The 27,520-nt window shown below is 51.7% G+C and overlaps 1 pseudogene, besides 5 other annotated features; it reads right to left on the bottom strand.

The window, feature by feature from the left end:
- Positions 5,118-5,618: an enhancer, noted in NCBI's record as "H3K4me1 hESC enhancer chr18:78692-79192 (GRCh37/hg19 assembly coordinates)". NCBI's record gives its function as "activates a minimal SCP1, AML or CMV promoter by ChIP-STARR-seq in naive H9 embryonic stem cells {active_cell/tissue: H9 hESC(naive)}" and the evidence as "EXISTENCE:reporter gene assay evidence [ECO:0000049][PMID:30033119]".
- Positions 5,619-6,119: an enhancer, noted in NCBI's record as "H3K4me1 hESC enhancer chr18:79193-79693 (GRCh37/hg19 assembly coordinates)". NCBI's record gives its function as "activates a minimal SCP1, AML or CMV promoter by ChIP-STARR-seq in naive H9 embryonic stem cells {active_cell/tissue: H9 hESC(naive)}" and the evidence as "EXISTENCE:reporter gene assay evidence [ECO:0000049][PMID:30033119]".
- Positions 6,147-14,987, bottom strand: IL9RP4 (IL9R pseudogene 4; annotated as a pseudogene).
- Positions 7,916-8,829: an enhancer, noted in NCBI's record as "H3K4me1 hESC enhancer chr18:81490-82403 (GRCh37/hg19 assembly coordinates)". NCBI's record gives its function as "activates a minimal SCP1, AML or CMV promoter by ChIP-STARR-seq in primed H9 embryonic stem cells {active_cell/tissue: H9 hESC(primed)}" and the evidence as "EXISTENCE:reporter gene assay evidence [ECO:0000049][PMID:30033119]".
- Positions 16,875-17,169: a silencer, noted in NCBI's record as "tiled region #10972; K562 Repressive non-DNase unmatched - State 9:DNaseU". NCBI's record gives its function as "represses a minimal TATA promoter and a strong SV40 promoter by Sharpr-MPRA in K562 cells {active_cell/tissue: K562}" and the evidence as "EXISTENCE:reporter gene assay evidence [ECO:0000049][PMID:27701403]".
- Positions 16,875-17,169: an enhancer, noted in NCBI's record as "tiled region #10972; HepG2 Activating DNase matched - State 8:EnhW". NCBI's record gives its function as "activates a minimal TATA promoter and a strong SV40 promoter by Sharpr-MPRA in HepG2 cells {active_cell/tissue: HepG2}" and the evidence as "EXISTENCE:reporter gene assay evidence [ECO:0000049][PMID:27701403]".

Here is a 27,520-nt window from a genome sequence, read left to right on the forward strand (position 1 = left end):
GAATCTCTGAAAATCAGCGCCTTGATTTTTTCCAGGCCGTGATTTTGGAAATTTCAACTGAACTGGAGACCACCATCCCGTGCCTTGACCGGAACGCATGGAGATAGCAATCAAAGAAGATGGCCAGTTCACGCCTGTAATCCCAGCACTTTGGGAGGCTGAGTCGCGGATCACTTGAGGTCAGGAAATCGAGACCATTCTGGCCAACATGGTAAAACCCCATCTCTACTAAAAATACAAAAATTATCTGGGCGTGTTGGCACACGCCTGCAGTCCCAGCTACTCTGGAGGCTGAGGCAGGAGAATCCCTTGAACCCAGGAGGCGGAGGTTGCAGTGAGCCGAGATCGCGCCACTGCACTCCAGCCTGGCGACAGAGCGAGACTCAATATCAAAAAAAAAAAAAGAAAAAGAAAAAAATAAATAAAAAGAAAGAAGGAAAGAAGAAGGAAGAAAGGAAGGGGAAGGGGAAGGGAGAAGGAAGTTAAGAAGAGACTCCAGGCTAGGTGCAGTGGCTCACGCCTGTAATCCCAGTACTGCGGAAGACTGAGGTGTAAGGATCACTTGAGCCCAGGAGTTCAAGACAAATCTGAGCAACGTAAAGATCCTGTTGTCTGTGCCAACATTTTGTTCTGTTTTGTTTTTGAGACGGAGTTTCACTCTTATTGCCCAGGCTGGAGTGCAATGGCGCGATCTTGGCTCACTGCAACCTCCACCTCCAGGGTTCAAACAATTCTCTTGCCTCAGCCTCCCGAGTAGCTGGGATTACAGGCGCGCACCACCATGCATGGCTAATTTTTGTATTTTTAGTAGAGACCGGGTTTTGCCATGTTGACCAAGCTGGTCTCAAACTCCTGACCTCAGGTGATCCCCCCACCAAGGCCTCCCAAAGTCATTCACGCCTGGGATTACAGGCGTGAACCACCGCGCCCGGCCAATTTTTTTTTTTTTTTAATTAGCTGTGCATGGTGGCTGGTGCCTATACTCCTAAGTACTTGGGAGGCTGAGGCCGGAGGATTGCTGGAGCCCAGGAGACCGAGGCTGCAGTGAGCTGTGATCACACCACTGCACTCCAGCCTGGGTGATAGAGCAAGACCTTCTCTCTTAAAACAAAACAAAACAAACTGAAAAAAGGCTGGGTGTGGTGGCTCACGCGTGTAACCCCAGCACTTTGGGAGGCAGAGATGGGTGGATCACCTGAGGTCAGGAGTTCGAGACCAGCCTGGCCCACATGAGGAAACCCCATCCCTACTAAAAATACAAAAATTAGCCAGATGTGGTGGTGGGCGCCTGTAATCCTAGCTACTCAGGAGGCTGAGGCAGGAGAATTGCTTAAACCCGGGAGGCGGAGGTTGCAGTGAGCCAAGATCGCACCACCGCACTCCAGCCTGGGCGACAGAGCAAGGCTCTGTCTCAAAAAAAAAAAAAAAAGAAAGAAAAAGAAAAAAGAAAAAAAGATAGCCAGTAGACAAAACTCTATTTATTTTCTTTCTTTTCTTTTTACTCTTAAAAAGGGTCTCGCTCTGTCGCCCAGAATGGAGTGCAGTGCCCTGAGCATGATAATGTGCTACTTTTCCATTTTCCTGTGTTGTTTCCACTACGTTAACAAATAAGCCTTAAAACACCAAGCACTGGCCAGGCGAGATGGCTCACGCCTGTAATCCCAGCACTTTGGGAGGCTAAGGCGGGTGCATTGCCTGAGGTCAGGAGTTCGAGACCAGCCTGGCAAACATAGTGAAACCCGTCTCTACTAAAAATAGAAAAAATTAGCTGGGCGAGATGGCGGATCCCTGTAATTCCAGCTACTCTGGAGGCTGAGGCAGGAGAATCGCTTGAACCCGGGAGGCGGAGGTTGCAGTGAGCCGAGAACGCGCCATTGCACTCCAGCCTGGGAAACCAAAGCGAAACTGTCTCAAAAAAAAAAAAAAAACACGAGCACTGATCAGGGGGCGTCTGTTACCTCGGCCTCAGGCTGTGGCCCCTGCCAGTCCCCAACCTCCAGACCGCCCGACGGCACAACGGCGTCTCCACGTTCCTCCGCTTCTCCCGGGACCAGGGTCTCTCCCCAGAAACAAAATCGCATCCGTAACCGGCATCTTGTCCTGTGCTGGGGGTGAGCCGCCCAAGCCTCCATGAAGGGACGCTCGTACAAAGTGAAGTCCGGGTACAAATGGCCAGACGGGAAACGCGCCGCGCTCGCTCCGCGGCACTCACAGCGGGGGCAGAAAGCCTTTTTCTCACTTTCTCCTCGGCGGCCCCAGGTGTCCCGGAGCGTCTCCCTGTCCTCACAGCGGACGTGGCCCCAGGTGTCCCGAAGCCCCGGCCCCTCCGGGGTGGGTGCTGAGGAGAGGAAGCTCCGTCCTCACAGTGGAAGCCCCACGACGCCGCCGTGCGGTTCGGACACCGTTCGCGCGCGCGGCCCTCCGGGTTTGGCAGGGCCGGGCGCCCCCTCGCGGCAGCTCTGGAGAATCTCTCAAAATCAGCGTCTGGATTTTTCCAGGCCGATATTTTGGAAATTTCGACTGAAATGGAGCCCGCCATCCCCAGCCTTGACGGGAACTCATTGAGATAGTAATCAAAGAAGATGGCCAGTTCACGCCTGTAATCCCAGCACTTTGAGAGGCTGAGGCGGGGGGATCACTTGAGGTCAGGCGTTCGAGACCAGCCTGGCCAACGTGGTGAACCCTCGTCTCTACTAAAAATACAAAAATTAGCAGGCATGATGGCGCGTGCCTGTAATCCCAGCTACTCTGGAGGCTGAGGCAGGAGAATCGCTTGAACCCGGGAGGCGGAAGTTGCAGTGAGCTGAGATTGTGCCACTGCACTCCAGCCTGGGCAACAGAGCGAGACTCCTTCTCAAAAAAAAAAAAAAAGAAAGAAAGAAAAAAAGAAGATGGCCAGTAGACAAAACTAAATTGATTTTCTTTCTTTTCTTTTTAAGAGACAGGGTCTCGTTCTGTTACCCAGGCTTGAGGACAGTGGCATAATCACAGCTCCTGGGTTCAGCTTCCAGCTCCCGGCTTCAAGAGATTGTCCAACCTCAGCCTCCCAAAGCACTGAGATTACAGGTGTGAACCACCGTGCCCAGCCCCACCTGATTTTCTTTTATTTATTTATTTTAATTATTTTATTTTATTTTTTATTGGGGGGGTGGGTCTCATTATATTGCCCAGGCTGGTCTAGAACTCCCAAGCTCAAGTGATCCTCCCAACTCAGCCTCCCAAAGTGCTAGGATTACATGCGTGAGCCACCATGCACTGCCTGACCTTCTTTCTATCAGCAATAATGTATAGGAATAATTTGAACTTGAAATAAAAAAAAACCATTTACAATAGCACCCCCAAAATTGAATTTATTAAGTATAAATGTAACACAATACATCTAAATATGCATTCAGAAAACCTTGGATCATGGTTGGGAAGAATAAAAAATATATAAATAAATGCAGATACTCCTTGTTTAGGAGCAGTACACTCATTACTGTTAGCTTTACCACAAAGCTAAAGTAATGAAGAGAGTGATATTGGTGAAGGAATGGACAAATAGATGAACGGAATAGAATACAGAACCCAAAAGACCCAAATAAATATAGTCAACTGCTTTTGTCAAAGGGGCAAAAATATTCAATGGGGAAAGAAAAATCTGTTCCACAGATGGTGACAGAACAATCAGAAACCATAGGGAAAAAAATGAACGTAGATACAAACTTCATAGCTCACCCCTAAAAAATCACTCAAGATAGTCTGTAGACTTAAATTTTCAAATATAAAATTGTAAAAGTTATAGAAGAAAATCCATATGACTTTGGATTGGTGATGAGTCTTTAGATACAATATCAAAAGCCAGTTCATAAAATAAAAAAAGATAATGTGGACTTTATTAAAATTTAAAATGACTATTCTATGAAATATCCCGTTAAGAGAATCAAAAAACAAGCCACAGACTGAGAGAAAATATTTAAAAAACAAACTTGAAAAAGACTTGTGTGCAAAATATACAAACAAATTCTAATAACAAAAAGAAAAACAACCCAATTAAAAGATAGACACCTCATCAAAAAAGATATACAGATGACATGCCCAGGTGCAGTGGCTCATGTCTGTAATCTCAGCACTTTGGGAAGAGGAGGCTGGCAATCACTTGAGGCCAGGAATTTGAGACCAGCCTGGCCAACATGGCAAAATCCTGTATCTACTAAAAATACAAAAATTAGCTGGGAGTGGTGGCTCACACCTGTAATCCCAGCTACTTGGGAAGTGGAGGCAGGAGAATCACTTGAACCGGGGAGGCAGAGGTTGCAGAAAGTTGAGATCATGCCACTGCACTTCAGCCTGGGCGACAGACCAAGACACCATCTTAAAAAAAAAAAAAAATGGAGTTTTGCTGTCACAAGCCAAGAAACTAACAGAAGCTGAAGACAGGCCCAAAACGGATACTTCCCTAGTGCCTTCAGAGGGAGCATGGCCCTGCTGAGACAGAGTAGAAATAGGACTCGGCCCACCCCCACTAACGTGTTGTTCCATACATGCCCGCTGACCACCAGACCTTGCCGCACCACCCTCCAGGTGCTATACTCGCTGGCCAGACCTTGCCAACTGTATGAAATAAACTAAGATAAGCAGCATCTGGCCGTAAGTCTTACTCAAGGGAGTTGACTCTATCACCCACTTGTGCACGAGGCCAGGAGAATGACTGATCCTTACCCCTGGCCTCATTATAATACTAAAGTCCCCACCCAGGTATAGGCTTATCTGCTATTTTCTGATCATGCAACGTATGTGTTAGCACGATTCTTTACTGCATCTGAGCACCCTTCACTCCACCCTGTAGGTGTAACGACACTCACCTAACTCATAAAGTATGCATGTCACCCTCCTTAAGACACCACAATGCACTCCCCTTGGTGAGCCAGCCAAGAATCCTTCCTCCTGGCCAACCTTTAGGGCATAAGACTTAATACGTCTCTCTTCTGCTCAACCTTTAGGGGCATAAGACTTAATAAAGCCTTGTCTGGGAAACTTGCTTGGCCTTGTATCAACTTCTGTTTCATGGGAGCCTAAGAACATGTAGTCAGGAATGCTGCCAACATCTTTATTTCCAACTTCTGGACTTCAGAACTGAGACAAATCTCTGTGGTTCTAAGCTACCCATTTTGTGGCACTTTGTTACGGCAGCCCTAGGAAACAAACGCAGGCACGTTCTGCTCCATCTGCCGCTCTCTCCAGACCACAGCTCTTCCTCAAACCCACCCCATGAGAGGCTGAGGACAGAAGCAGGACCCTTCACAGGCCACCATCACTGCTGGATGGTCATTTCCAGCACTGACTGGGAGCTCCAGCCTCATCTCTCAGTTTCTAGGAGCAAGTGGGAGGATGAGGACAAGGAGGAATGAGGGCTCTGGCCTCCCAGGAACTGTCCCTGAACCTCCACCCTGCTGTCCATGAAGCTGCCCCTGAGCCTCCACCCTGACCTCAGCCCAGTGCTGTCCCTGAGCCTCCACCCTGCTGTCCCCAGAGCTGCCCCTGAACCTCCACCCTGACCTCAGCCCAGAGCTGTCCCTGAGCCTCCACTACTGCTGTCCCCAGAGCTGCCCCTGAGTCTCCACCCTTACCTTAGCCCAGAGCTGTCCCTGAACCTCCAGCCTGCTGTCCCCGGAGCTGCCCCTGAGCCTCCACCCTTACCTTAGCCCAGAGCTGTCCCTGAACCTCCACCCTGCTGTCCCCGGAGCTGCCCCTGAGCCTCCACCCTTACCTTAGCCCAGAGCTGTCCCTGAACCTCCACCCTGCTGTCCCCGGAGCTGCCCCTGAGCCTCCACCCTTACCTTAGCCCAGAGCTGTCCCTGAACCTCCACCCTGCTGTCCCCGGAGCTGCCCCTGAGCCTCCACCCTGCTGTCCCCAGAGCTGCCCCTGAGGCTCCACCCTGCTGTCCCCGGAGCTGCCCCTGAGGCTCCACCCTGCTGTCCCCGGAGCTGCCCCTGAGGCTCCACCCTGCTGTCCCTGGAGTTGCCCCTGAGCCTCCACCCTGCTGTCCCCGAAACTGTCATTGAGCATCCACCGGGCTGTCCCTAGAGCCCAGAAAGCCTAGGGCTGGCCAAACCTCACCCCTCACTCCTCCTCTGGCCCCTCTTCCCAGCCATCAGCACTTTGGAACAGCCATGAAGCCCCTTTTAATCTCTAGAAAGGTGCCTCAGGAAGGCACAGAGAGGTCACACCAGGTGGTCATGGTGCCTTACCTGTGTACACTGGGCCCAGGCTGGCCCTTTAAGGGGATGATGGTGGAACAGCTGAGACCACACCCCTCTTCTCAGAGAGGCCAGGGATAAAGAAAAGGGACAGCGGAAGGAAGAACCTGTGGGCAGGATGCTGAGGGTAGAGGCTGCTCCCCACAGGCACTGAGCGGAGGGATCCTTTCTCCCTGAAGCTGCCCCTGAGCCTCCATCCAGACAGGACCTCCAACCACTGCTAGGGGCCCATTCTCAGGAGGTTCAGTCCCAGACAAGGGCTCCGGAGACTTAAGTCCACTTTCCCAAAATGGACATGATTCATCTGGCAAGTCAGGGACCCAGGACATCCAGGACCAAGCCTTGCTAAGGACGGAAGGGAGTAACATGCCCTGGTGGACGTGGGGGCCAAGTCCTCCTGTGGCAGATAGGCAAGGGGCTGTGCCCTCCACTCCGTACACCCTGCTGGCAGCACATGCTCTGAGCTCAGGTCCCAGTGCCTTCCTGCTCCTCCTCCAGGCCCACAGATTTCTAAGGACCCGCTGGGCCACAGGTGAACAGTGCAGTGGCCTCCTGGACGCAGGGCTCCAAGGCTCCTCATCGGGTGCCAGCACAGTCCTGGCTCAGCAGCACACCAGCCCTGTGGGCCCCCATCCGAGTCTGGAACAGAGTGCAGGAGGAGGGAAGGGCTCAGGTAGCATGTTCAGAACTCATCCTGGGAGCAGCTGCCTCCTTTCTGGCAAGCCCAGCCTCCCTCCTCCTCCAGGAAGCCCTCCTGAGGTCCACACCCAGAGGCCAAGCAGCGCCTGTGTCTTGGACATTCTGTCTTTCCTCCATGTGCCAGCCCAGCCTCATCACGGGACCCTGAGTCCCTTCAGGCTCCTCAGCACTCCCCCAGCACAGGACCTGGTGCTCACGGCAGCCTGAACCAAGGTACAGATGGTGATATCTGCCCAGGACAGAGCCAACTCCTGACAGCATGTGCCTCAGGGCCTTTCAGCAGCTGCAGAGACTGGGCATTCCCAACACACACACACACACACACACACACACACACACACACACAGAGACACACACACACACAGACACATACACACACAGACACACACATAAACACACACACAGACATACACAAACACACACAGACACACACACGAACACACACAGACACAAACACACACAGACACACACATAAACACACACACAGACATACACAAACACACACAGACACACACACACAAACACACACAGACACACACACAGATACACAGACACACACATACACACACAAACACACACAGACACACACAGACACACAGACATACACACAAACACAAACACACAGACACACACATAAACACAGACACACAGACATACACACACACAAACACACAGACACACACAAACACACACACATAAACACACACAGACACACACAGACATACACACAGACACACACACAAACACATACACACACACAAGTCGCTGTCAGGACTGGTGACTTTCAAAGCACTGGGCTAAGGCGAGCAGACCTGGATCCTTCTGTGGGGCCACAGGCGGCCCCTGCCTCCAAAAGGAAGCTGTTCCCTTGGTGAGACCAGGAACCTCCATCCCATGCACAACACACAACACACCCTCCATCACTGCACTGCTCCCTAAACACACAACACACCCTCCGTCACTGCACTGCTCCCTGGAGACAAACCTACGGCACCAGATCCCCACCCGCAGGTCTAAATAACCCCTGGCAGGTGCCCTGATTCTCTAGGGAAGGGCTGGTGCCTGCAACAGGATGACAGTCCAGGGGACAGTCATGATCTGTGCCCTGCTCAGCCTTGTACTCGGCTGCCCAGGCTCGTGACAGTCACACCTACCACCTTGGGGAAAGGGGGAGACTCTGTGAAGAGCCAAGTGCCTGGTTTATGGTTCAAATTGAACATTTGGACAAAAATCTTGAAAACTAGGCTCCTCATTGAGAGAAAAAAGGATTTTTCTGCATAGTAAGTTGGAGCCGCGGTGTGGAAGGGACATCCTTGCTGCACAGGGCCCAGGGATGCCCTAGGGCACAGGGAGGGAAGATCCTGGAGAAGAGGGGTCAGCTTGGCCCAGACCCCAGGGAGGGGCCCTCACTGCTTCTTGTCCTTTGCCCAAAGTGAGGAGTCTGAGGGGAAAAACCAGAGACCATTCAATGGAGCCCTCCCTCTCCCCCTCCTCCCACCCAGGGGGCATGAACCGCCAGCCCTGCAGGGAGGGGAGGGGCTGATGCAACCCCCAAGTTGCTCACTGGTTCCTGGGCTGTGGGGGCCCAACAGGGCCACAGACGGGGAATTGCAGAGCCCACTCCACAGCTGTGGTGCCAGCATGCGATCTGTGGGGACCAGGGGACCAGGGGACCAGGCAGAGCAGGAGCCCAGAGGCAGTGAGAGCCCCAAGGGCAGCACACACACCACAGACCCTTCCCCATGGCCACAGGGCAGACACCTTTGCAGAAGGAGGAGGTGAGGCACATGGTGGGTGCAGACAGCCGCAAACCAGAGGGGACAGAGATAAGTCATGAGAAATTTACGTTTTTCCGTCAACAGTGGAACTGGAGACATGAGAACAAAAAGAAATCAGTAACGGAGAATAAAGCTAGTTTTTCCCCACTGGAGACACAGCGTATAAATTGAAATACACTGAATATACAGAAACGGCTCCAAGCACTGACAAGTTTCCCATACTGGCCGCCAACCCTCATGAAAGCCAACATCTCTGGCAGGCCAGAGCTCTGGGCAACACCTGCCCCCGACGCCCTGCCGTGGTCTCTGCACACACCTGGAAGTTCCCATTGTGCACACCGTAGAGGGGCTAGGAGAACACCGCTAGAGAGGGCACATTCTAGTAGAAGGTTCTCTTCACCCTGAGGCCAGGAGAGGCCAGTCAGAGGCCTATGGGGACCCAGGTGGCCTGAGGTCACTGCAGAGGCTGAGCTTCCTTCCATCAGCAGGAGGTCCGCCCACCTCATCCCTGCCACTGCCTCTCTCCCATCTCATCACATCCCAACCCACTCTCAGGGCAGGACCTAACTGGGCCTCCTTGCCTAACAGCCGCATAGAACTGACTTATACTGAGGCACGCGTCCTTTACAGCATGAGCTACGATGGTGGGTTCAGAACAGGGAGTTGTCAGCTAGATCCTCAGCCCGCAGAGGGAGCCACACCTCCAGGAACTCTATCTTTGCCATCAGCACGTCTGTGGCTCCCACCCCACCCAGTGTCTCCCTGAGCACCTGACTTGCTGCCAAGGATCCAGTGACCCTCCCACAAGGATGTCACCTGGGGCTCCAACCCAACAGGTGCAAATAGACCTCGCCAACCTCCCCGCAAGGCTGTGCCCCATTTCCCCACCTCAGGGGTCACCACTCATATCTCATCCAGCCACACGTCCCCTCTATTTCTCCCCCTAAGACCCTGCAATTCCCTCCACCTTGCTCTATCTCCACTTCTTTCACTGGCTCACGCCAAATCATCTCCCTGTGGGCACCCCACTGGCCCCCACTGGCCCCCAGCAGGTCCCCCATGTCCCCTTTTCCCAGCAATCCATTCCTCAAAACATAAACTAGGTCGTATTACACAGTTTCACACTTTCCTTTGCTCCAAGGAGAAGCCAAGCACCCTCCCGCTTAGCCCCACCCAACACCCCTCTCCCCACACCCTCTTCCTCACATCCTCGGCCTGACATGGCCCCTGCACTCCCTCTTGTAACCTGACATGTGGTGCATGAGGCGTGATGGTTTATTTAAGGAGGGTCCTTGTCCATCTTGTTCTCTAAGGCATCGGCCAGGGTGAGAAGAGGGTCCTGTGTACACCAGATGCCCCAACTGACCTTTCATATAACGTGTGAACAAATGAACAAACCAAGCTCCTCCAGAGGCAGGAGACTAGGACCTCCGGCTCTTGATCTCGGTGACTCTGGGTCTGGTCGGGACCAAGCTGCCCTTATCTTCAGCCTCTGCCTCAGACCCCCCTTCCCTGCTCTCCCCTGGCAAGTTGAGAACCCTCTTCTGGACCAGGGTGGAGACTCGAAAAGCCCACCCCGTCCAGGACCAGGCAGTGGAGAGGGGAGGGGAGGAACCAGACAAGGGCGGCCCTTGACGGCCCACCCACCACACACTCACACATGCACACAGTCACACATCTGCACACATACACTAACATGCACACTCTTGCCCGCTCACACATGTACACACACGCACACATCAGCCACCTACCTGGGCGACAGCTTGAACAGGAGGTAGGTCGGGCCAGTCAGCAGGAGAAAGATGGACACAGCAACAAAGGTGTTGCCTGGCCACCCCCAGGGTGGGATCAGAGGGTCCGTGGGCAGGAAGGGCCCAGGGCTGTGAGCAGCGTCAGTGCCAGGAGGCTCCCCACAAACCTACCTGGCAAAAGTGCGCCCTTTAGTGCCCTGGGCCAAAGTGGAAGGTTTGTGATGAGCCTTGGAGGTTTGTGTCATCTGCTGAAGGACCTTGTGATGGGCCTTGGAGGTTTGTGTCACCTGCTGAAGGACCTTGTGTGAACCACACTCCTGGGCCTCACTCTTCCCATCTGCCACACAGTGGGTCATAAGGTCCCTGGGCCATCTCAGCACTGCAGTGCGCAAGGGTCAGTCCAGCCCCCATTAAGGACACTGAGGTCATGTCCAGCCTCCAGGCAGGAGCCCAGCCCTGGTGTGCAGCCCTGCCACCCTCACTCCTAACAGCAGCCACTAACTACAGGTTCCCAGGAAGCCCCAGAGTTGGCAGGTGTTTGTTTCCTCCCTGCAGACCTCAAAGCTTCAGAGGAAGGGGGTCAACTGGGACATGGCTGACTCAGGGAGGGGCTTCCAGGAGGCTGAAAGGGAGTGGGGGACACCCAGCCCAGACTCTGGAAGTGCGGCAGCCATAGCAGCGCCCACCTTGTCTCTGGGGAGCCTGGAAGCACACGGGCTGGCTCCCCTCGCTCCTCCTGTGCCCCGTCATCCCCCAGCATGGCCGTCTGGACACGCAGCCTGGCCTCAAGGATAAAGCCAGGGTCCAGCTCAAAGGCTTCAAGTATGAGCCAGGTCACCCCGACAATGTGATCCCTGTGCTGGGCCCGCTGTGGGGGTGGCGACAGTTGGCAGGTGCTGAAGGTGGGGCTGGGTCCCTCAGCCCTTGAGAATACACACACGCACACGCTCACATAACACACACATGAACGCACCTGTGCTCACACAGGCACACTCGCCATGTTCACGTGCACACACACACAGAGAAGGCACACTCACACACAGATACAGCTGCGTTTGCCCACAAATACACATATGCACACACAGGCAAACATGTCTACAGGCACACTTTCACACTCATCACACCTGCATGCACACTCATATACACGAGTGTGTGCACAGAAGCACACTCACCACACTCACATACACGTACACAGAGGCATGCCCATGTGCACACTCACACATACAAACACAAGGCGCAGACACACTCATATGTACACTTACAAACACAAACATGGGCACACTTGTAAGTGCACACATAAACACATGCACACTTACCACACTTATGTGCACACACAGAGACACAGGCACACTCACCCTACTCACATACACACACATGAAGCACACACATGTAAATGTTAGCATGTGTGCACACACACACCTGGCTCCAGTTCCTCCCCTCCTCATCACTCCAAGTTGACCTCGCCTTATTTAGAGTGGGGAGTCTGCCCTGGACTGCTGCTCCCAGGAGTGAGGCCCCCAGGAGAAAAGCCAGCCAAAGTGTTACCTCCCAGGCCTCTTCCTGCCTCTTGAAGTCCAGCTCATAGCTGAGAAGTGTGGTCATTGACTCCAAGGCAGGACTGAGGCTCCAGGTCAGGATGCAGTGGCGAGCTGACGTGCTCTGCAAGTCAGAGTGGGTCCAGCTTCACAGGAACAGAGAGAATCCATGTAAGGCTGAAGCCCCATGGGTCTGGGTGTGTCAGTCAGCACACCCAAGACTGGGGATCTGAAAGATTCCCAAGGGGCATGGTCAAGACCCTCTCAGACCAGACACCTCACTGGGAGACTGGTCCAGAAAAGCCCCAGATGGGACAGGACAGCAGTGACTTCCTTTGGCCCCTGCAGTAACCACGTGGACCCTCCCTTCCCAGGGGCCAAGCCTGCCCCCAGCCCTGGATCTTACTTGGCAGGGACTGAGAACACTTACTGGGCCACAGGGGTCACAGGCTGCAGGGCCTTTCTCCCAGCCCCCAGGCAGCCAGGATGTTCTTGCCAAGGGGCCCTGCCCCAGGCCTATAGCTGCTGTTCACCGTGTCTCCAGGGCAGGTACTACAGGTCCACCAGGCTGACCTGATCCCTCCCGGACATGCAGTGGTAGAAAGTGATGATGAAATTGTCAGATGGCAGGAGTGCTGCCTTGGGCGGCAACACTACAGTGCACTCACTGCCCTGCCAGATGCACTTCTGTGTGCCACCAGCAGCCTGGTTGCTGAAAAGGGCATGTGTCAGCACCACGGGGCTGCTACACTATCCTGGTGCAGCTGCTGCAATCCTCACCCTCATCCCTATCCAGGTGGGCATGGCCCTCCACCCTCACCTGATGAAGGGGAGCCCGGGGCTGGAGCCCTGACCCAGCTCTGGGGCAGACCAGTGGCAATCAATCCTGAGAATGTTGTTGGTGAGGCAGGTGGAGGTTCCAGCCCTTGGCCCTGGAGACAGTGACGGCTGGGAGCCCACAGTGAGTGCTTCAGAAGAGAGCTGAGTTGGGGGATTGGGGGGGATCCGGCAGCTGACATCCTAGCAGGGCAGTCACCAGTGAATGACCCCAGAATCTGTCCAGGGAAGCACTGGGAGGCCTGGGAAGTGATGGGCTCTGACCCATGGTACATGGGCAAGTCAGAACCAGAGAGGTGTCAAGAGGGTGAAGGAAGGGTGGGTCCAGGGACCGGAGGTAGGGAGGTAAAGGAAGGGAGACTAGAGACAGAGGTCCAGGCTGACCCCTAGAGGACATGCCCCAGCACAATTTGGGCCAAAACTTTCCCTAGGGGATCGACATTGGACAACCCAGTCCCCCAAACATACCCTAGTTCTCCACCCACCTCATACAGACACTAGTGCCCAGCCCTCACCTCGTCCATCCCCTGAGACAGAGACTCCCGAGCAGACACAGGTGCAGACGCAGGTGCAGGCCAGAAGCCAGGTGCCCATGTCTCGTCTCAGGGCCTCACTCTCCAAGGTCCAGCCTGCAAGGGGCTGGGCTGAGGGCCTGTGCGAGCCATCCCTCTCTGGAGGGGTGCTCCCCATGAATTGCTCCCTAGCAGAGTGCTCAGTGGATCTCCATCTGCACTCACGCGGTGTCCTGTGAAAGATGCTGGGCACCACTGCCCAGGGTTTACTGATAAGGAACTGAAGCTCAGAAAGGCTGCTTGACCCTGCCAAAGACTCATGATTGCAGGCTGTAAGATGCACCCTCAAACTTAGATCCTGGACTCTGACTCAGCTAGATCTCCACGTCTGCCAAGAAGGCTCCTCTCTGGGACAGGCATCCTCTGCCAGCCCATCCCCTGTCCCTGGGCCCAGGCCCCATCCTGCAGGGGTGTCGGGATTGGGGGAACCACTCACTACCAACAACCACCACAGGTGCATTTTCTACTTTAATTCTCACAACAGCTCTGTAAGGGAGAAGCACTGTCCCTGTTCACAGGCAAGGAGCTGAGTCCCAAGAAGGGAAGGAGGAGAAATCACTTGCCCAGGGTCACATAGACAACCTCTATGCATTTATTTATTAATTTATTTATTTATTTATTTTTGAGACGGAGTCTCCCTCTGTCGCTCAGGCTGGAGTGCAGTGGCGTGATCTCGGCTCACTGCAACCTCCAACTCCTGGGTTCGAGCGATTCTCCTGCCTCAGCCTCCCAAGTAGCTGGGATTACAGGTGCCCGCTGCCACACCCAGCTAATTTTTTTGTATTTTTAGTAGAGGCAGTTTCACCGTGTTGGCCAGGCTGGTCTCGAACTCCTGACCTCAAGTGATCCACCCACCTCGGCCTTCCAAAGTGCTGGGATTACAGGCATGAGCCACGGTGCCTGGCCTCTATGCATTCTCTCTCCCTTTTGTGTTCTTACATAAAGACCCATCCCAGGATCTGCCCCAGGAAGGTGGACAAGGGTGGCAGCAGAGTATCCATGCAACAGATGGCACTTCCTGAATTCTATCTGTTGCACCCCTGTTCGAAGGTACCTCCAAAGGAGAGCACCACCAGAAGGACGAAGACCCCCCCCTGCTGGAGTGTGAGGCCTGGGTCCCAGGATCTCTGGGGGAGCCAGAGGTTGGCTGGAGATGAGGCGCTGAGTGTCAGGAAGTTCTTGGGTGTGGGAAGGCTACTGATGCCCCATCACCCCATTTGCAGCTCCAGACGGTACACCCATAGCCCGTAGGCAGGAAGCAGGGCCAGCCTGGTTACCAAAGGCTGATTAGTGATAAGGAGAAGAAAAAAAACAGACATACGTGCTGGCTACAGGGTGCACACTCTTAAGGAACCCGCACACCCTCAACGGGCATCAGGCACTACTCTAACCCCACTCTGCCCCACTCCCGGTAGCGTATCCAGGTACCCATAGGACAGTCCCCTGTTAAGACTGATGATCAGTAATCCTCACCCTTTCTAGAATGGAGCGTGCAGCCTGGAACCACCAGCCGCAGCATGAAACACCGTGGCAAGTTCTCTGCAGCAGTGTCTGTCCCTTTGTGCAACAGTTACTGGAAAGGTAGGAATGGGAAGACAGTCAGCCTGCTCTTAGGATATCTGAGGGCAGAGTTGGAGTGACCACAAGGACCTGGGGAAGCACGGGCACAACAGCCACAGCTGAGAGCTGACCCAGGCCCCAGAATGGACAACCGCTGCCCCAGCACTGGAGAAACACCCACATCTATGTAGAATCAGGCCAGGCCAGCCACAAGCTAACCCAGGAGCAGATGGCTTGAGAGCAGGGAGTGGGGTGGCTTCAAGCTCAGCAGGCCTCGTTTCAAGACAGGGAGACGGGATGGTAGGGCAGGACCCACATGTGACATCTGAGAGCTACAAAGGAGGAGGCCAGGACACCCCCTGGGGGAGCACTGGAAAGTTGGGTACAGCAACAAGGCAATATGGCCATCTGAGGGGAAGGGCTCTGCTTTTCCTCCGCACTGAAAACTCACAGCTGTACCTGGTAAGCTGAGCAGGGCAGGGTTACCACCCTCCTACAGATGAAGAAACTGAGGCTCAGAGACCTGGGACCTGCCCAATATCTGGCTCCTGACACCTCTTCTTAGCACATTCCCACCAGCTTCTACACAAGCCTGTGAACTTCCCGAGGGGAGTGCCTGCGAGGCACCCTCAGCACATGCCCCAGCAGAAGGCACACAGTGCTTTACAAATGGGGTGGAGCTGCAGGCGGAGCTGCCTTCCCCCATCCTTGACCACAGGGCCAGGCAGCCAGGGCAGGTGCACACACACCCCCACCCACATGCTCCCTGCTCCTGGATGTCACTAGGGAGGCCTCACCGCAGCTCAGACAACACCCGGTCACAGGACGGTTGTGAGAGCAGGAGGGGAAACCAGTGTCTGCCACCTGGGACAGAGCTGCCCCTGACATCCCTAGACCTGCTGGGGAGCCTGGCTGACATCACTGCCTGGTACAGCTTCTGCCACATTGGGTCTGTGGACATAGCCTTCAGCCCATGGTCACTCTGGCCCCTTCTCAGAGCCGCACCTATTCCATGGCCTCAGCATCAAGGCCTGGCCCAGAAGGCACTGGGCCTCACGGCCTGCCTGCCCTGGTTCCCTGGGCCACTGCGAAGCTGTGGGCTGCTCTGCAGCTGGACCCCTGCCTCAGACCACAGGCTCTGCCACACCCACGGGAGGGTCTTCAGACAAGCTCAGCCCTTCCCCCTCCATTAGCCGGGCATGGTGGCCCACGCCTGTAGTCCCAGCTACTTGGGAGGCTGAGGTGGGAGGATCACCTGAGCCCGGCAGGTTTAGGTTGTGGTGAGCCGTTATCGCACCAGTGTACTCCAACCTGAGTGACAGTGAGACCCTGTCTCCAAAAAGAAAACCAACAACTGCAGCAAGAATATTACCAAAGTTGAGAAAACTAATGCAGCAAAACAGGAATCTACTAATATGTGTTAAAACTGGCAGTGGTAAAAGCATGTGTGGATCAGGAACAAGCTTAGGTGGACAAATGTATGAAGATTGTGAAATCATAAAGTGCTTAAAGTGTACGGTTTTTCACTGCATCATCATTATTATTATTATTTTTGAGACGGAGTCTCACTCTATCACCCAGGCTGGAGTCCAGTGGCAAGGTTTTGGCTCACTGCAACCTCCACCTCCCGGATTCAAGCGATTCTCCTGCCTCAGTCTCCCAAGTAATGAAGGGGGCCTGCCCCTCCATACCTGTCGGTATTTCTTGCAAGATGGAGACAAGAGACTGAGAAAAGGAAATAAGACACAAAGACAAAGTATAGAGGAAGAAAAGTGGGCCCAGGGGACCGGCGCTCAGCAAGTGAGGACCTGCACCGGTGCTGGTCTCTGAGTTCCTCAGTATTTATTGATCACTATCTCTACTATCTCGGCAAGGGGGATGTGGCAGGACTATAGGGTAATGGTGGGCAGAGGGTCAGCAGGAAAACGTGAGCAAAGGAATCTGTGTCATAAATAAGTTTAAGGAAAGGTGCTGTGCCTGGATGTGCACGTAGGCCAGGTTTATGTTTGACTTTACACAAACCTCTCGGTGCACTAAAGAGCAGTATTGCCGCCAGCATGTCTCACCTCCAGCCACAGGGCGGTTTTCTCCTATCTCAGTAAATAGAATGTACAGTCGGGTTTTACACCGAGACATTCCATTCCCAGGGACGAGCAGGAGACAGATGCCTTCCTCTTATCTCAACTGCAAAGAGGCCTCCCTCTTTCACTAATCCTCCTCAGCACAGACCCTTTATGGGTGTCGGGCTGGGGGACGGTAAGGTCTTTCCCTTCCCACGAGGCCATATCTCAGGCCGTCTCAGTGGGGGGAAACCTGGACAATACGCAGGCTTTCTTGGGCAGAGGTCCCTGCGGCTTTCCGCAGTGCACTGTGTCCCTGGTTAATGGAGAATGGCAATGACTTTTACCAAGCATACTGCCTGCAAACACATTGTTAACAAAGCACATCCTGCACGGCCCTAAATCCCCTAAACCTTGAGTCAATACAGCACATGTTTCTGTGGACACAGGGATGGGGCTAAGGTTACAGATTACCAGCATCTCAAAGCAGAAGAATTTTTCTTAGTACAGATCAAAATGGAGTTTCTTATGTCTTCCTTTTTCTACATAGACAGAGTAACAGTCTGATCTCTCTTCCTTTCCCCCACAGAGTAGCTGGGATTACAAGCATGCACCACTATGCCCAGCTAATTTTTGTATTTTTAGTAGAGATGAGGTTTTCCCATGTTGGCCAGGCTAGTCTCGAACCTCTGACCTTAGGTGATCCACCCACCTTAGCCTCCCAAAGTGCTAGGATTACAGGTGTGAGCCACCACGCCTGCTTCTCTGTATTATTCATCAGCAAGAACTCTGTGGGAAATATCTGAATCCATTGTCAGTGGTGAATCTATTGACTCTTTCAGTGGTGTCAATGGTATACTTCATTTGCTCTCCTGCACGTAACCAGCATTCACAGATGCACATTTGCAATTGATTTCAATGACAGGGAACATTAACTTTGAACCCCAATTAAGCAAAATGGCATCCACTCTTCTCAGTAATAGACCCACATTACAAAAATTAAACTCAATTATTATTACATTTTGAATTTTGCCTATAATCACATTCTGAGGTTAAATTCAAAAAAATTAAAGAAGAAGTATAAAATTTTTTAAAAATTGCCTATAAAAAACATATGGAAGTTGCCAGTCTGGGCAACATGCCAAAACCCTGTCTCTACCAAAAAAAAAAAAAAAAATTAGCTGGGCATGGGGCGCACCTATAGTCCCAGCCACTAGGGAGTCTGAGATGGAAGGATCACTTGAGCCCAGGAGGTCCAGGCTGCAGTAAGCTGACATCATGCCACTACATTCCAGCCTGGGCAACAGAGTGAGACCCTGTCTCAAAGAAAATTAAAAAGTAAGTAATTATACTATTCACCCTCTGACCCTTAAGAAAACAGTTTGTAAACCCCTCAAACAGGTTATTATTATATCCACTTTATAGATGAGGAAATGAAGGCAGAGGTTCTGCAACTTGACCAGGGTTTCACAGCTAAGGCGCAGTCAGGGACACTGGCTTCAGAGTACATGATGTGTACCGTGGATCCATGCTGCCTTCCAACAACAAAACTGAACAGAAGAACTGTCACCTGAGGAAGTAAAACTAACAGCATAAGCAGAAGACGTTACAGATAATGCCCACGTGATAAAATCACATTTGGGAAACCAGAACAAACTATTCTGAACTAGAGCCAATTAGAGACAATAAGCTCAGGAACTGGTTAACATGTTCAAACAATATGAAAACAATCATATTAAATGTAAAGATTGGCCGGGGGCAGAGGCTCACACCTATAATCCCAGCATTTTGGGAGGCCAAGGTGGACGTATCACCTGAGGTCAGGAGTTTGAGACCAGCCTGACCAACAGGGAGAAACCCCATCTCTACTAGAAATACAAAATCAGTCAGGTGTGGTGGCGCATGCCTGTAATCCCAGCTACTCAGGAGGCTGAGGCAGGAGAATCGCTTGAACCTGGGAGGCAGAGGTTGCAGTGAGCCAAGATCATGCCACTGCACTCCAGCCTGGGCAACAGAGCAAAGCCCTGTCTCAAAAAAAAAAAAAAAAAAAAAAGATGTGGAGTGGGGAGTGGTGGCAGCTACTTAGAGGCCAAGGCGGTAGGATCACTTGAGCCCAGGTGTTTGAGGCCATCCTGGGCAACATAAACAAGACCCCATCTCTTTCAGAGAGAGAGAGAGAGATTGATTTAGAAAGCAATTAAGACTGGGGCCTTGACCAAGAATCAATTATCAATAACCTAGACTCAGCTAGTCTGAGGTTTCCTTTCTCTTCTGAGAGTTGAATGATTAACACAGAAAGTATAAAGTATAAAAACATAGTGCCGGGCGCTGTGGCTCATGCCTGTAATCCCAGCACTTTGGGAGGCCAAGGCAGGTGGATTATCTAAAGTCAGGTGATTCGAGACCAGCGTGGCTAACATGGTGAAACCCTGTTTCTACTAAAAAGACAAAAAATTAGCTGGGCATGGTGGCAGGCACCTGTAGTCCCAGCTGCTTGGGAGGCTGAGGCAAGAGAATCACTTGAACCCAGGAGGCAGAGGTTGCAGTGAGCCGAGATCATGCCACTGCACTCCAACCTGGGCGGCAGAGCGAGACTGTGTCTCAAAAAAAAAAAAAAGAATAGAATCTTATACGTTTAATGCAACCCTAGGAAGCAATCAGGGAAGGTTCAAAAAATGAATAAGGGAATAAGAGTAGGAGTAAAGAAATAAATTGAAATACCAGTGATGAGGATTTTCATAGCCTGTTCAAATCTACGTATGTAGTCAATTTTGGGATCACTGTGATTTGGGGTTTGCTTTCTACCTAATAAGCTATTTAAAACACTGAGAAGGCAATATTAGAACTTTCATTTTAATGAAATATTCAGAATTTTGATTAAAATAAATACTAAATTAAGTTTACAAGCAACAGTTAAATATTTAGAGACATTTAATGTACTCAGTTTTGCGAACAGTACAAACATTTAAGAGCGTTGATTGAGGCTGAATGCGGTGGCTCACGCCTGTAATCCCAGCACTTTGGGAGGCTGAGACGGGTGGATCACGAGGTCAGATTGAGACCATCTTGGCTAACACAGTGAAACGCTGTCTCTACTAAAAATACAAAAAAATTAGCCGGAAGTGGTGGCGGGCGCCTGTAGTCACAGCTACTCGGGAGGCTGAGGCAGGAGAATGGCGTGAACCCATGAGGTGGAGCTTGCAGTGAGCAGAGATCGCACCACTGCGCTCCAGCCTGGGCAACAGAGTGAGACTCTGTCTCAAAATTAAAACAAATAGTGTTGATTGGGAGTAAGGGAATGTCAACTGCCAATAAATGTAGAAGATGAAAGAACAGGACTTTAAACAGCACATACTTAGTTATGGGTCTCCGTCTCCTACCCATACAGAAAAACTCCCTGACATTCATGACTTCATCCACTCTGACTAGCAGATAGGCCACATTTCCTGACACCCTGGCGCTTCACCTCAAAAGGTTTGTCTTTCCACCACACCAGCAAAGACCCTCAGGACACATGATTCACGCTGCCAGCTAAGCATCTACCCCAAGGGACAAGGTAAGCACACACTGAAGCAGCTGGGCCATCCTAGTCCTAATCCCTACAGCGGTGTCCACCCTGAGAATTGCAGCACTTGTAGAAGGTGATCATCAGCTCGTCTGCAGAGCAAGTCTGAAGCTGCATGAAGTAAGCACGAGGATGTTTGCATTTGAGACATGGCTCTAGCAATCAGAAAAATAAAGAAGTGACCCACATTAAAAAAAAATATTGCTCATGACTGTTAAAAGTAGGTATTACTATCTTTTCTTTTTTTTTTTGAGACGGAATCTCCCATTGTTGCCTGGGCTGGAGAGCAGTGGCGCACTCTCAGCTCACTGCAACCACCACCTCCCAGGTTCAAGCAATTCTCCTAACCCAAACCCTAGCCCTAACACTACACAAACCCAAACCTGAACCCTAACCCTAAACCCTAACACTAACCCCTAAAGCTAACCCTAACCCTAACCCCTAAAACTAACCCTAACCCTAAACCCTAACCCCTAAAACTAACCTTAACCCTAACCCCAACCCTAACCCTAACCCTAACTTCTTAATCAACCGTATTGACTAATGAAGTAAACATGAGTAGGCCAGTCGAGGTGGCTTACATCTCTAATCTCAGCACTTTGGGAAACTGAGGCAGGCAGATCACCTGAGCTCAGGAGCTCGAGACCAGCTGGCTAACATGGTGAAACCCGGTCTCTACTAAAAATACAAACATTAGCCGGGCGTGGTGGCAGGCGCCTGTAATCCCAACTACTCAGTAGGCTGAGGCAGGATAATCACTTGAACCCGGGAGGTGGAGGTGGCAGTGAGCTGAGATCACACCACTGCACTCCAGCCTGGGCGACAGAGCCAGACTCCATCTCAAAAAAAATAAAAAATAAAAAGCAAACATGAGTGTTTAAACCTGAAATTTTTTGCAACTGGTATATGTGTGATATACACACACATACACACACACAGGGCTGGAGAATATAGTAAGATAATATTCTGTCCAGTAAACTCTTATGAAATTTCAATGATCAATTGTGCCCTCTGCCTTTCATTCTGTGTTGAGCTTTTATTTTTCTTTACTGATTATCCCAAATATGGACTCTGCTTTTATGTATCTATTTCCTTGATTTATAAATTAAGGGTGATTCTCACATATGATCTACCAAACATTTTTTTTTTGGTCTAAAAAAATCACGTCAGAACATTTGTGTTGTTAGACATCATAACCGCTGTGACTTGAAGGATCTAGGTAGACAGAATCTTAAGAGTATTTGATAAGAGGGTGTTGGATGTGCATAGAGTTCCCAAGACCCCCGAGAGCCTGCTGTGTCCCTGCAGGTGGAGGCCGCAACGCAGGCAGCTGGGCTGGGCTGGGCGGGTGGGCAGCAGGTGGGAGCGCTCAGGGACTGGGGGCCAGGTCAGTTGTGCAACCCCTGTTCTGAGGCCAGTGGGAAACCATCGTTAAAGTTAAATAAGAAGAGTGATGGGATGAGACTTGTTTGTAAAGGAGAGTTTTGTCACAATCACCCTGAGGTCTCTGTGGGGTGTGGGTGGGTCTGTGCTCCTCCGGGGAACTCGCTGTGCGGAGCACTGCCGGAGGCTGCGAGTTCCCACCTGGAGTGCGGCGTCTGCATCTGCCCAGGGGGAACCGCTGTGCAGACCCAGGCTGGGGGCAGCTCTGCTCTTCAACTCTGCGAAGGCTCCAGAAAAGGAAAACTGGACCCAGATGGAAAGAGACATTTTCCACCCAGCCGGGGTGGCTGCGAAGTGAAACGGGCCTGCGGACACGACCCTCAGGTAGAAACGTGGCCTCCTGCGCTGGGGTCACCTGGCGCTTACCTGGGAGGGGTCCCTGTTTTGGGTGAAAAACACTGGGGTGTTTTCTGTGAGATGCAGATCTGGCTCAGCAACAACCGCTGAGGAATCTGAGAGAAAAGAGAAAGAAAACTCCACACTACCGTTGCAAGTTTCCTGAAAGTATGGAATTATTGGGAAGTAAGCTACTTTTTAAAACAACTGTGTCAATTCCACGCCCGTGAAGCAGATACGACAACAAGCTCCACTGTGGAGGCCAAGCCCGAGGCAGCTCCAGCTCAGCAGCAGCTGTGAGCAGCTGGAGGCTACGTTAGTTTTGATTATGTCAGTGTTGATTATTGTGAGCGGGGACTGCGGGGCCGTGTGGGGAGCACGGGGTTTCATATTAACATTTTTGTATTGAGGCAGCGCATTAGCATTACAGGTGTTTGTTACCTGAGCACTGCGAGTGTCACATTCGTATTTCGGGAGGCATATCTGCATTAGGAACGCTCCATTTGTGTTCCAAGGCCGCGGTGTAGACCTCGCACTGCGCCCGCCTCGCCTTGGGTGGGGAGAACCTCAGTGCTCAGGATTCGGAGGGGCTTTTGGTTTCCAGTTTCCCACACCGACCCCGCTTACTGGTCTCTAACCCTCAGTAGTCAGGGCTGCAAACAGGAAGGATTTTACTCACCATGGCCTCGAGTTGTCCCAAAGCGAGGCGGTGCCCCCCGGGTCTGTGCCGAGGAGGACGCGGGCTTCACCCTCGCTTCGGCCCGGTGTGGACGCCCTGCTGGCGGCCGGGGGCACTGCAGGGCCCTCTTGCTCACGGTGTCATGGCCTTGCGCCCCCTGCTGGCGGCCTGGGCACTGCAGGGCCCTCTTGCTCACGGTGTCATGGCCTTGCGCCCCCTGCTGGCGGCCTGGGCACTGCAGGGCCCTCTTGCTCACGGTGTCATGGCCTTGCGCCCCCTGCTGGCGGCCGGGGGCACTGCAGGGCCCTCTTGCTCACGGTGTCATGGCCTTGCGCCCCCTGCTGGCGGCCTGGGCACTGCAGGGCCCTCTTGCTCACGGTGTCATGGCCTTGCGCCCCCTGCTGGCGGCCAGGGCACTGCAGGGCCCTCTTGCTCACGGTGTCATGGCCTTGCGCCCCCTGCTGGCGGCCGGGGGCACTGCAGGGCCCTCTTGCTCACGGTGTCATGGCCTTGCGCCCCCTGCTGGCGGCCAGGGCACTGCAGGGCCCTCTTGCTCACGGTGTCATGGCCTTGCGCCCCCTGCTGGCGGCCGGGGGCACTGCAGGGCCCTCTTGCTCACGGTGTCATGGCCTTGCGCCCCCTGCTGGCGGCCGGGGGCACTGCAGGGCCCTCTTGCTCACGGTGTCATGGCCTTGCGCCCCCTGCTGGCGGCCGGGGGCACTTCAGGGCCCTCTTGTTCACGGTGTCATGGCCTTGCGCCCCCTGCTGGCGGCCGGGGGCACTGCAGGGCCCTCTTGCTCACGGTGTCATGGCCTTGCGCCCCCTGCTGGCGGCCAGGGCACTGCAGGGCCCTCTTGCTCCCAGTGTAGTGGCGGCACGCACCCTGCTGGCGGCTGGAGACACTGCAGGGCCCTCTTGCTGCCACAGCCACCTGGCATTGAACAGCGACAGTGTGGCCAGCACTGTGCTAAGCTCATCTCGGTCATTCTCTCACCACATCCTCCAACGAGCCCGTGAGGCCCAGAGAGGTTAGGCGAGTTGCCAGTGGTCACACAGCCGATAGCGGCCAGGCTGGAACTTGGACTCAGGCTCCCAAGTCTCACCCACCAGCATGTGCTGCCTCTGAAGAGTTTGGGATTCCCCTTCAGGGCAACTGGGAGCCACGAGGGATTTTTAAGGGGGGTGGGTAGCACGGTCTCAGTGCCCTAAATCCCCAAGTCACGTTCGTGGAGAACCCGCTGCGTCCACCTGGGAGACGTGGCTGGTCTGTTTTCAGGGTCTGACCCTGCTGGCCTCTTCCTACACCACTTAAAGTTGGAGTGCAGGTTGTTCAGCACTATCAATTCTGCAAATTCAAACTGAAATGGAGCTAATACTGGGGAGACCTGATGTCCCAGTTCTTGTCTAACTTGAAAGAAAGATTCTCACCAAGAGGCAGTACAAAGATGGCAGATAACTTCATTGAAAAGAAATATAGTGTAAAGAGCTTATTGTAGAAAAAATAAGTATGCCTCAAGGGAGAAGTGGGGCTGATCTGCAGGAACACAGCCCCAGGGTCCTGAGCAGGGAGTTTTATGTTGGACTTCTTCACATTCCTCAAGTCTCCACCTCTTTTCTTTGTCTGGTTTTCCTGCTCCTTCCTTAGATCCCTGACTTGCCCCGCCTAGGCTTGTGGGACCCCCTCACTGTTGGCTGACACATATGTGCAGTGATCAGTGTGATTCCACTGCTGGGGCTGGGCTCCTTCCTGCCACTCCAGGAAGGTCCTACAGTGGTCATGTCTGTACCTACTGTGCCTGCCTATCTCTTTCGAATGTCCTTCTCTGCCCTAATCTGTACTTATGGTGCCAGGTTTCTCTTAAGAATGTCCCCTTTGTCCTTATCAGCATGTAGCTAGCAATATCCTAACATTTTAACAGCAGAGTGAATGATTATTGGGGCATCTTAAGAGGAGCTCTGTGCCCCAAACTCACACAGCCTCCCAGAACCTCCTCTACCCAACCCCAACCCTAACCCACCACTGTAATCTTAACCAATCCTAACCCTGATCCCCAGGGAAGTTGAATCTGCCTCCTCCTGCCAAGTGCCTCCCTTGATCCTCACCACACTCTCAAAACCTGATCCCTAACCCTAACCCGAACCCTAACCCGAACCCTAACCCTAAGCTCAAATTTAGTTGAGCTTCTATGGAATTATGTCTATGTAGCTAGGCATGAAGTTGATGATTTTTAAAAAATCTATGCCTTATTTGTGTAATAAAATACACAATAAATAATTAATGCTCATAGGAAAACATGTTAGACCTTGTGAAGGGAAAATAAATCTTGGGGACCCAAAATCGCTAAGCTAAAGGGAAAAGTCAAGCTGGGAACTGCTTAGGGCAAATCTGCCTCCCATTCTATCCAAAGTCACACATCTGCTCACGGAGATAAATGCATAGCTGATTGCCTCATTTGGAGAGGGTAATCAGCAAAGCAAAAGAATGAAACCATTTGTCTCTTACCTACCTATGATCTGGAAGCCCCCTATCTGGCCTTCTCACCTTTCTGGACTGAACTAATGTACACCTTACATATATTGATTGATGTCTCATGTCTCCCTAAAGTGTATAAAGTGTATAAAACCAAGCTGTGCCTCGACCACCTTGGGCCCATGTTGTCAGGACCTCCTGAGGAGGCATCACGGGGGCTCCACTGCAAACTTGGCAAAATAAACTTTCTAAAAAATCTGAGAGCTGTCTCAGATTTTCAGGGCTCATACATGTAATGTAGTATGTCAATGTTTATAAAACAGACATTATTCTGTCTACTATTACAACTATGCTGCAATTAACCTTAGACTTTCCCAACAAAATAAAAAATGATGAGGTACAAACAATATATTTAAACTTAAATAATGGTGCAAGTTTTAATATGCCTACTTTTCAATTTTTCAATACTATTTTTACTACTTTAACACTGTAAGAAAAATGAGCAATTAAAACATGAATAAAAGTGTTTACAGGGGGTGCACGTGTTTCCTCCAGCCTCTGCCCATCCCCAGCTTTCATCCCAACTGTCCTGATGGTGGCTCTAAGCATTTCCCCTGTCTCTATACCAAGATCTCTTCCCAGAAACAAGCCCAAATCTTACCATATGTTATGGCACGCTATGGTGATGAGCTGCGATGAGCAGCCGAAGCCTCAAGGAAGGGATGCTTTTGTAAAACAAGACTTGTAGAATAAAACGTGTGAAAGTAAAGCCCATGGCAGAGTTCCCTCCTCAGCACACGGGGAGCAGACAGGAAGCTTTTGCCTCACCTTCCTCAATGGCCTGCAGCCACGTCTCCCAGGTCAGTCTTAAGGACAACGAAACTCTGGTCTTCACTGTGGACACGCCACACTACCAGGTGCTCCAAAGCCATGGTGACCCATCCTCGGGTGGGTCCTGACGAGAACAAAGCTCTGGTTCTAATTCTAACCCTAACCCTGTCCCAAGACTTTGACCCTGAACCTAAACCCTGATCCCTACCCTGGTCCCTAATTCTGACCCTTACTTTGACCCTGACTTTGATCTCGACCCTGACCATGACCCCACCTCTAACCATACTTCTGGCCCTGACTCTGACCCAGATCCTAATCCTATCCCTAACCCTATTATTATCTTTACAATCTATGTCTAATCTTACTGTCTAGTGCTAAATAGCTGTACCCAAAAGCACTTTTAAATCCTTTAACTTCTTTTCCTTGAATTCTCTAAGGACATCTTAAAGGAGATGTCATTATGTATTTTGCATTCCCTCTGAGTGGTATGGCTTCACATATGAAGTTCTAATACTTTGCAAGACATAAAATGTTTGGAGGGTAACAGCACTGGGTTGTTAGGGATGTATGTTGGCATTCATGATAGTCATTGGTGCTGTTCTCCAAATATTTTCAGTCCATTTTTTTATGAATGCATTCTGACTGTTCCATCCCACCTACTTAAATTTTTCCATGGCCACATGACTTTTCTATTTTTATTTTTATTTTATTTTTTGCTAATGGAGGTGAGAAGAAATAACATGTGACTTTTTCAGGAGAAATCTCCAAGAAACAGAGTTCTACTCTGCATGCTTTTTTCTCTTTTCTATAGCAATGGGGATCTTATTGATGATCCCTCCTTCCATCTGGATTCCTGTGTTAGGATGACACAGCACAGAGATATCTCTCACCTGACCCGTGATGAGATGTAAATAAATGAGGAAGAAGATTTTTGAGCCACTGAAATTTGGAGGTTGTTTGTCACCACAGTTTAACCTAGCCCCCATTGACTGATGCATGGCTGAAGAATGAGTCTCAACTGGATCTGGACAAGATATGTGAAGAGCACGCCAGGCTGAGTAAAATTCAAGTGTTGTCTCAAAGATAACAGTGAGCACAATATGTTATTGGGGTGTGTGTGGGATAAATAAGGTATATCAGGTGAGAATAATAAGAAACTCAACT

The sequence above is a fragment of the Homo sapiens genome, chromosome 18, assembly GCF_000001405.40.
Source record: "Homo sapiens chromosome 18, GRCh38.p14 Primary Assembly".
Classification (NCBI taxonomy): Eukaryota; Metazoa; Chordata; class Mammalia; order Primates; family Hominidae; genus Homo; species Homo sapiens.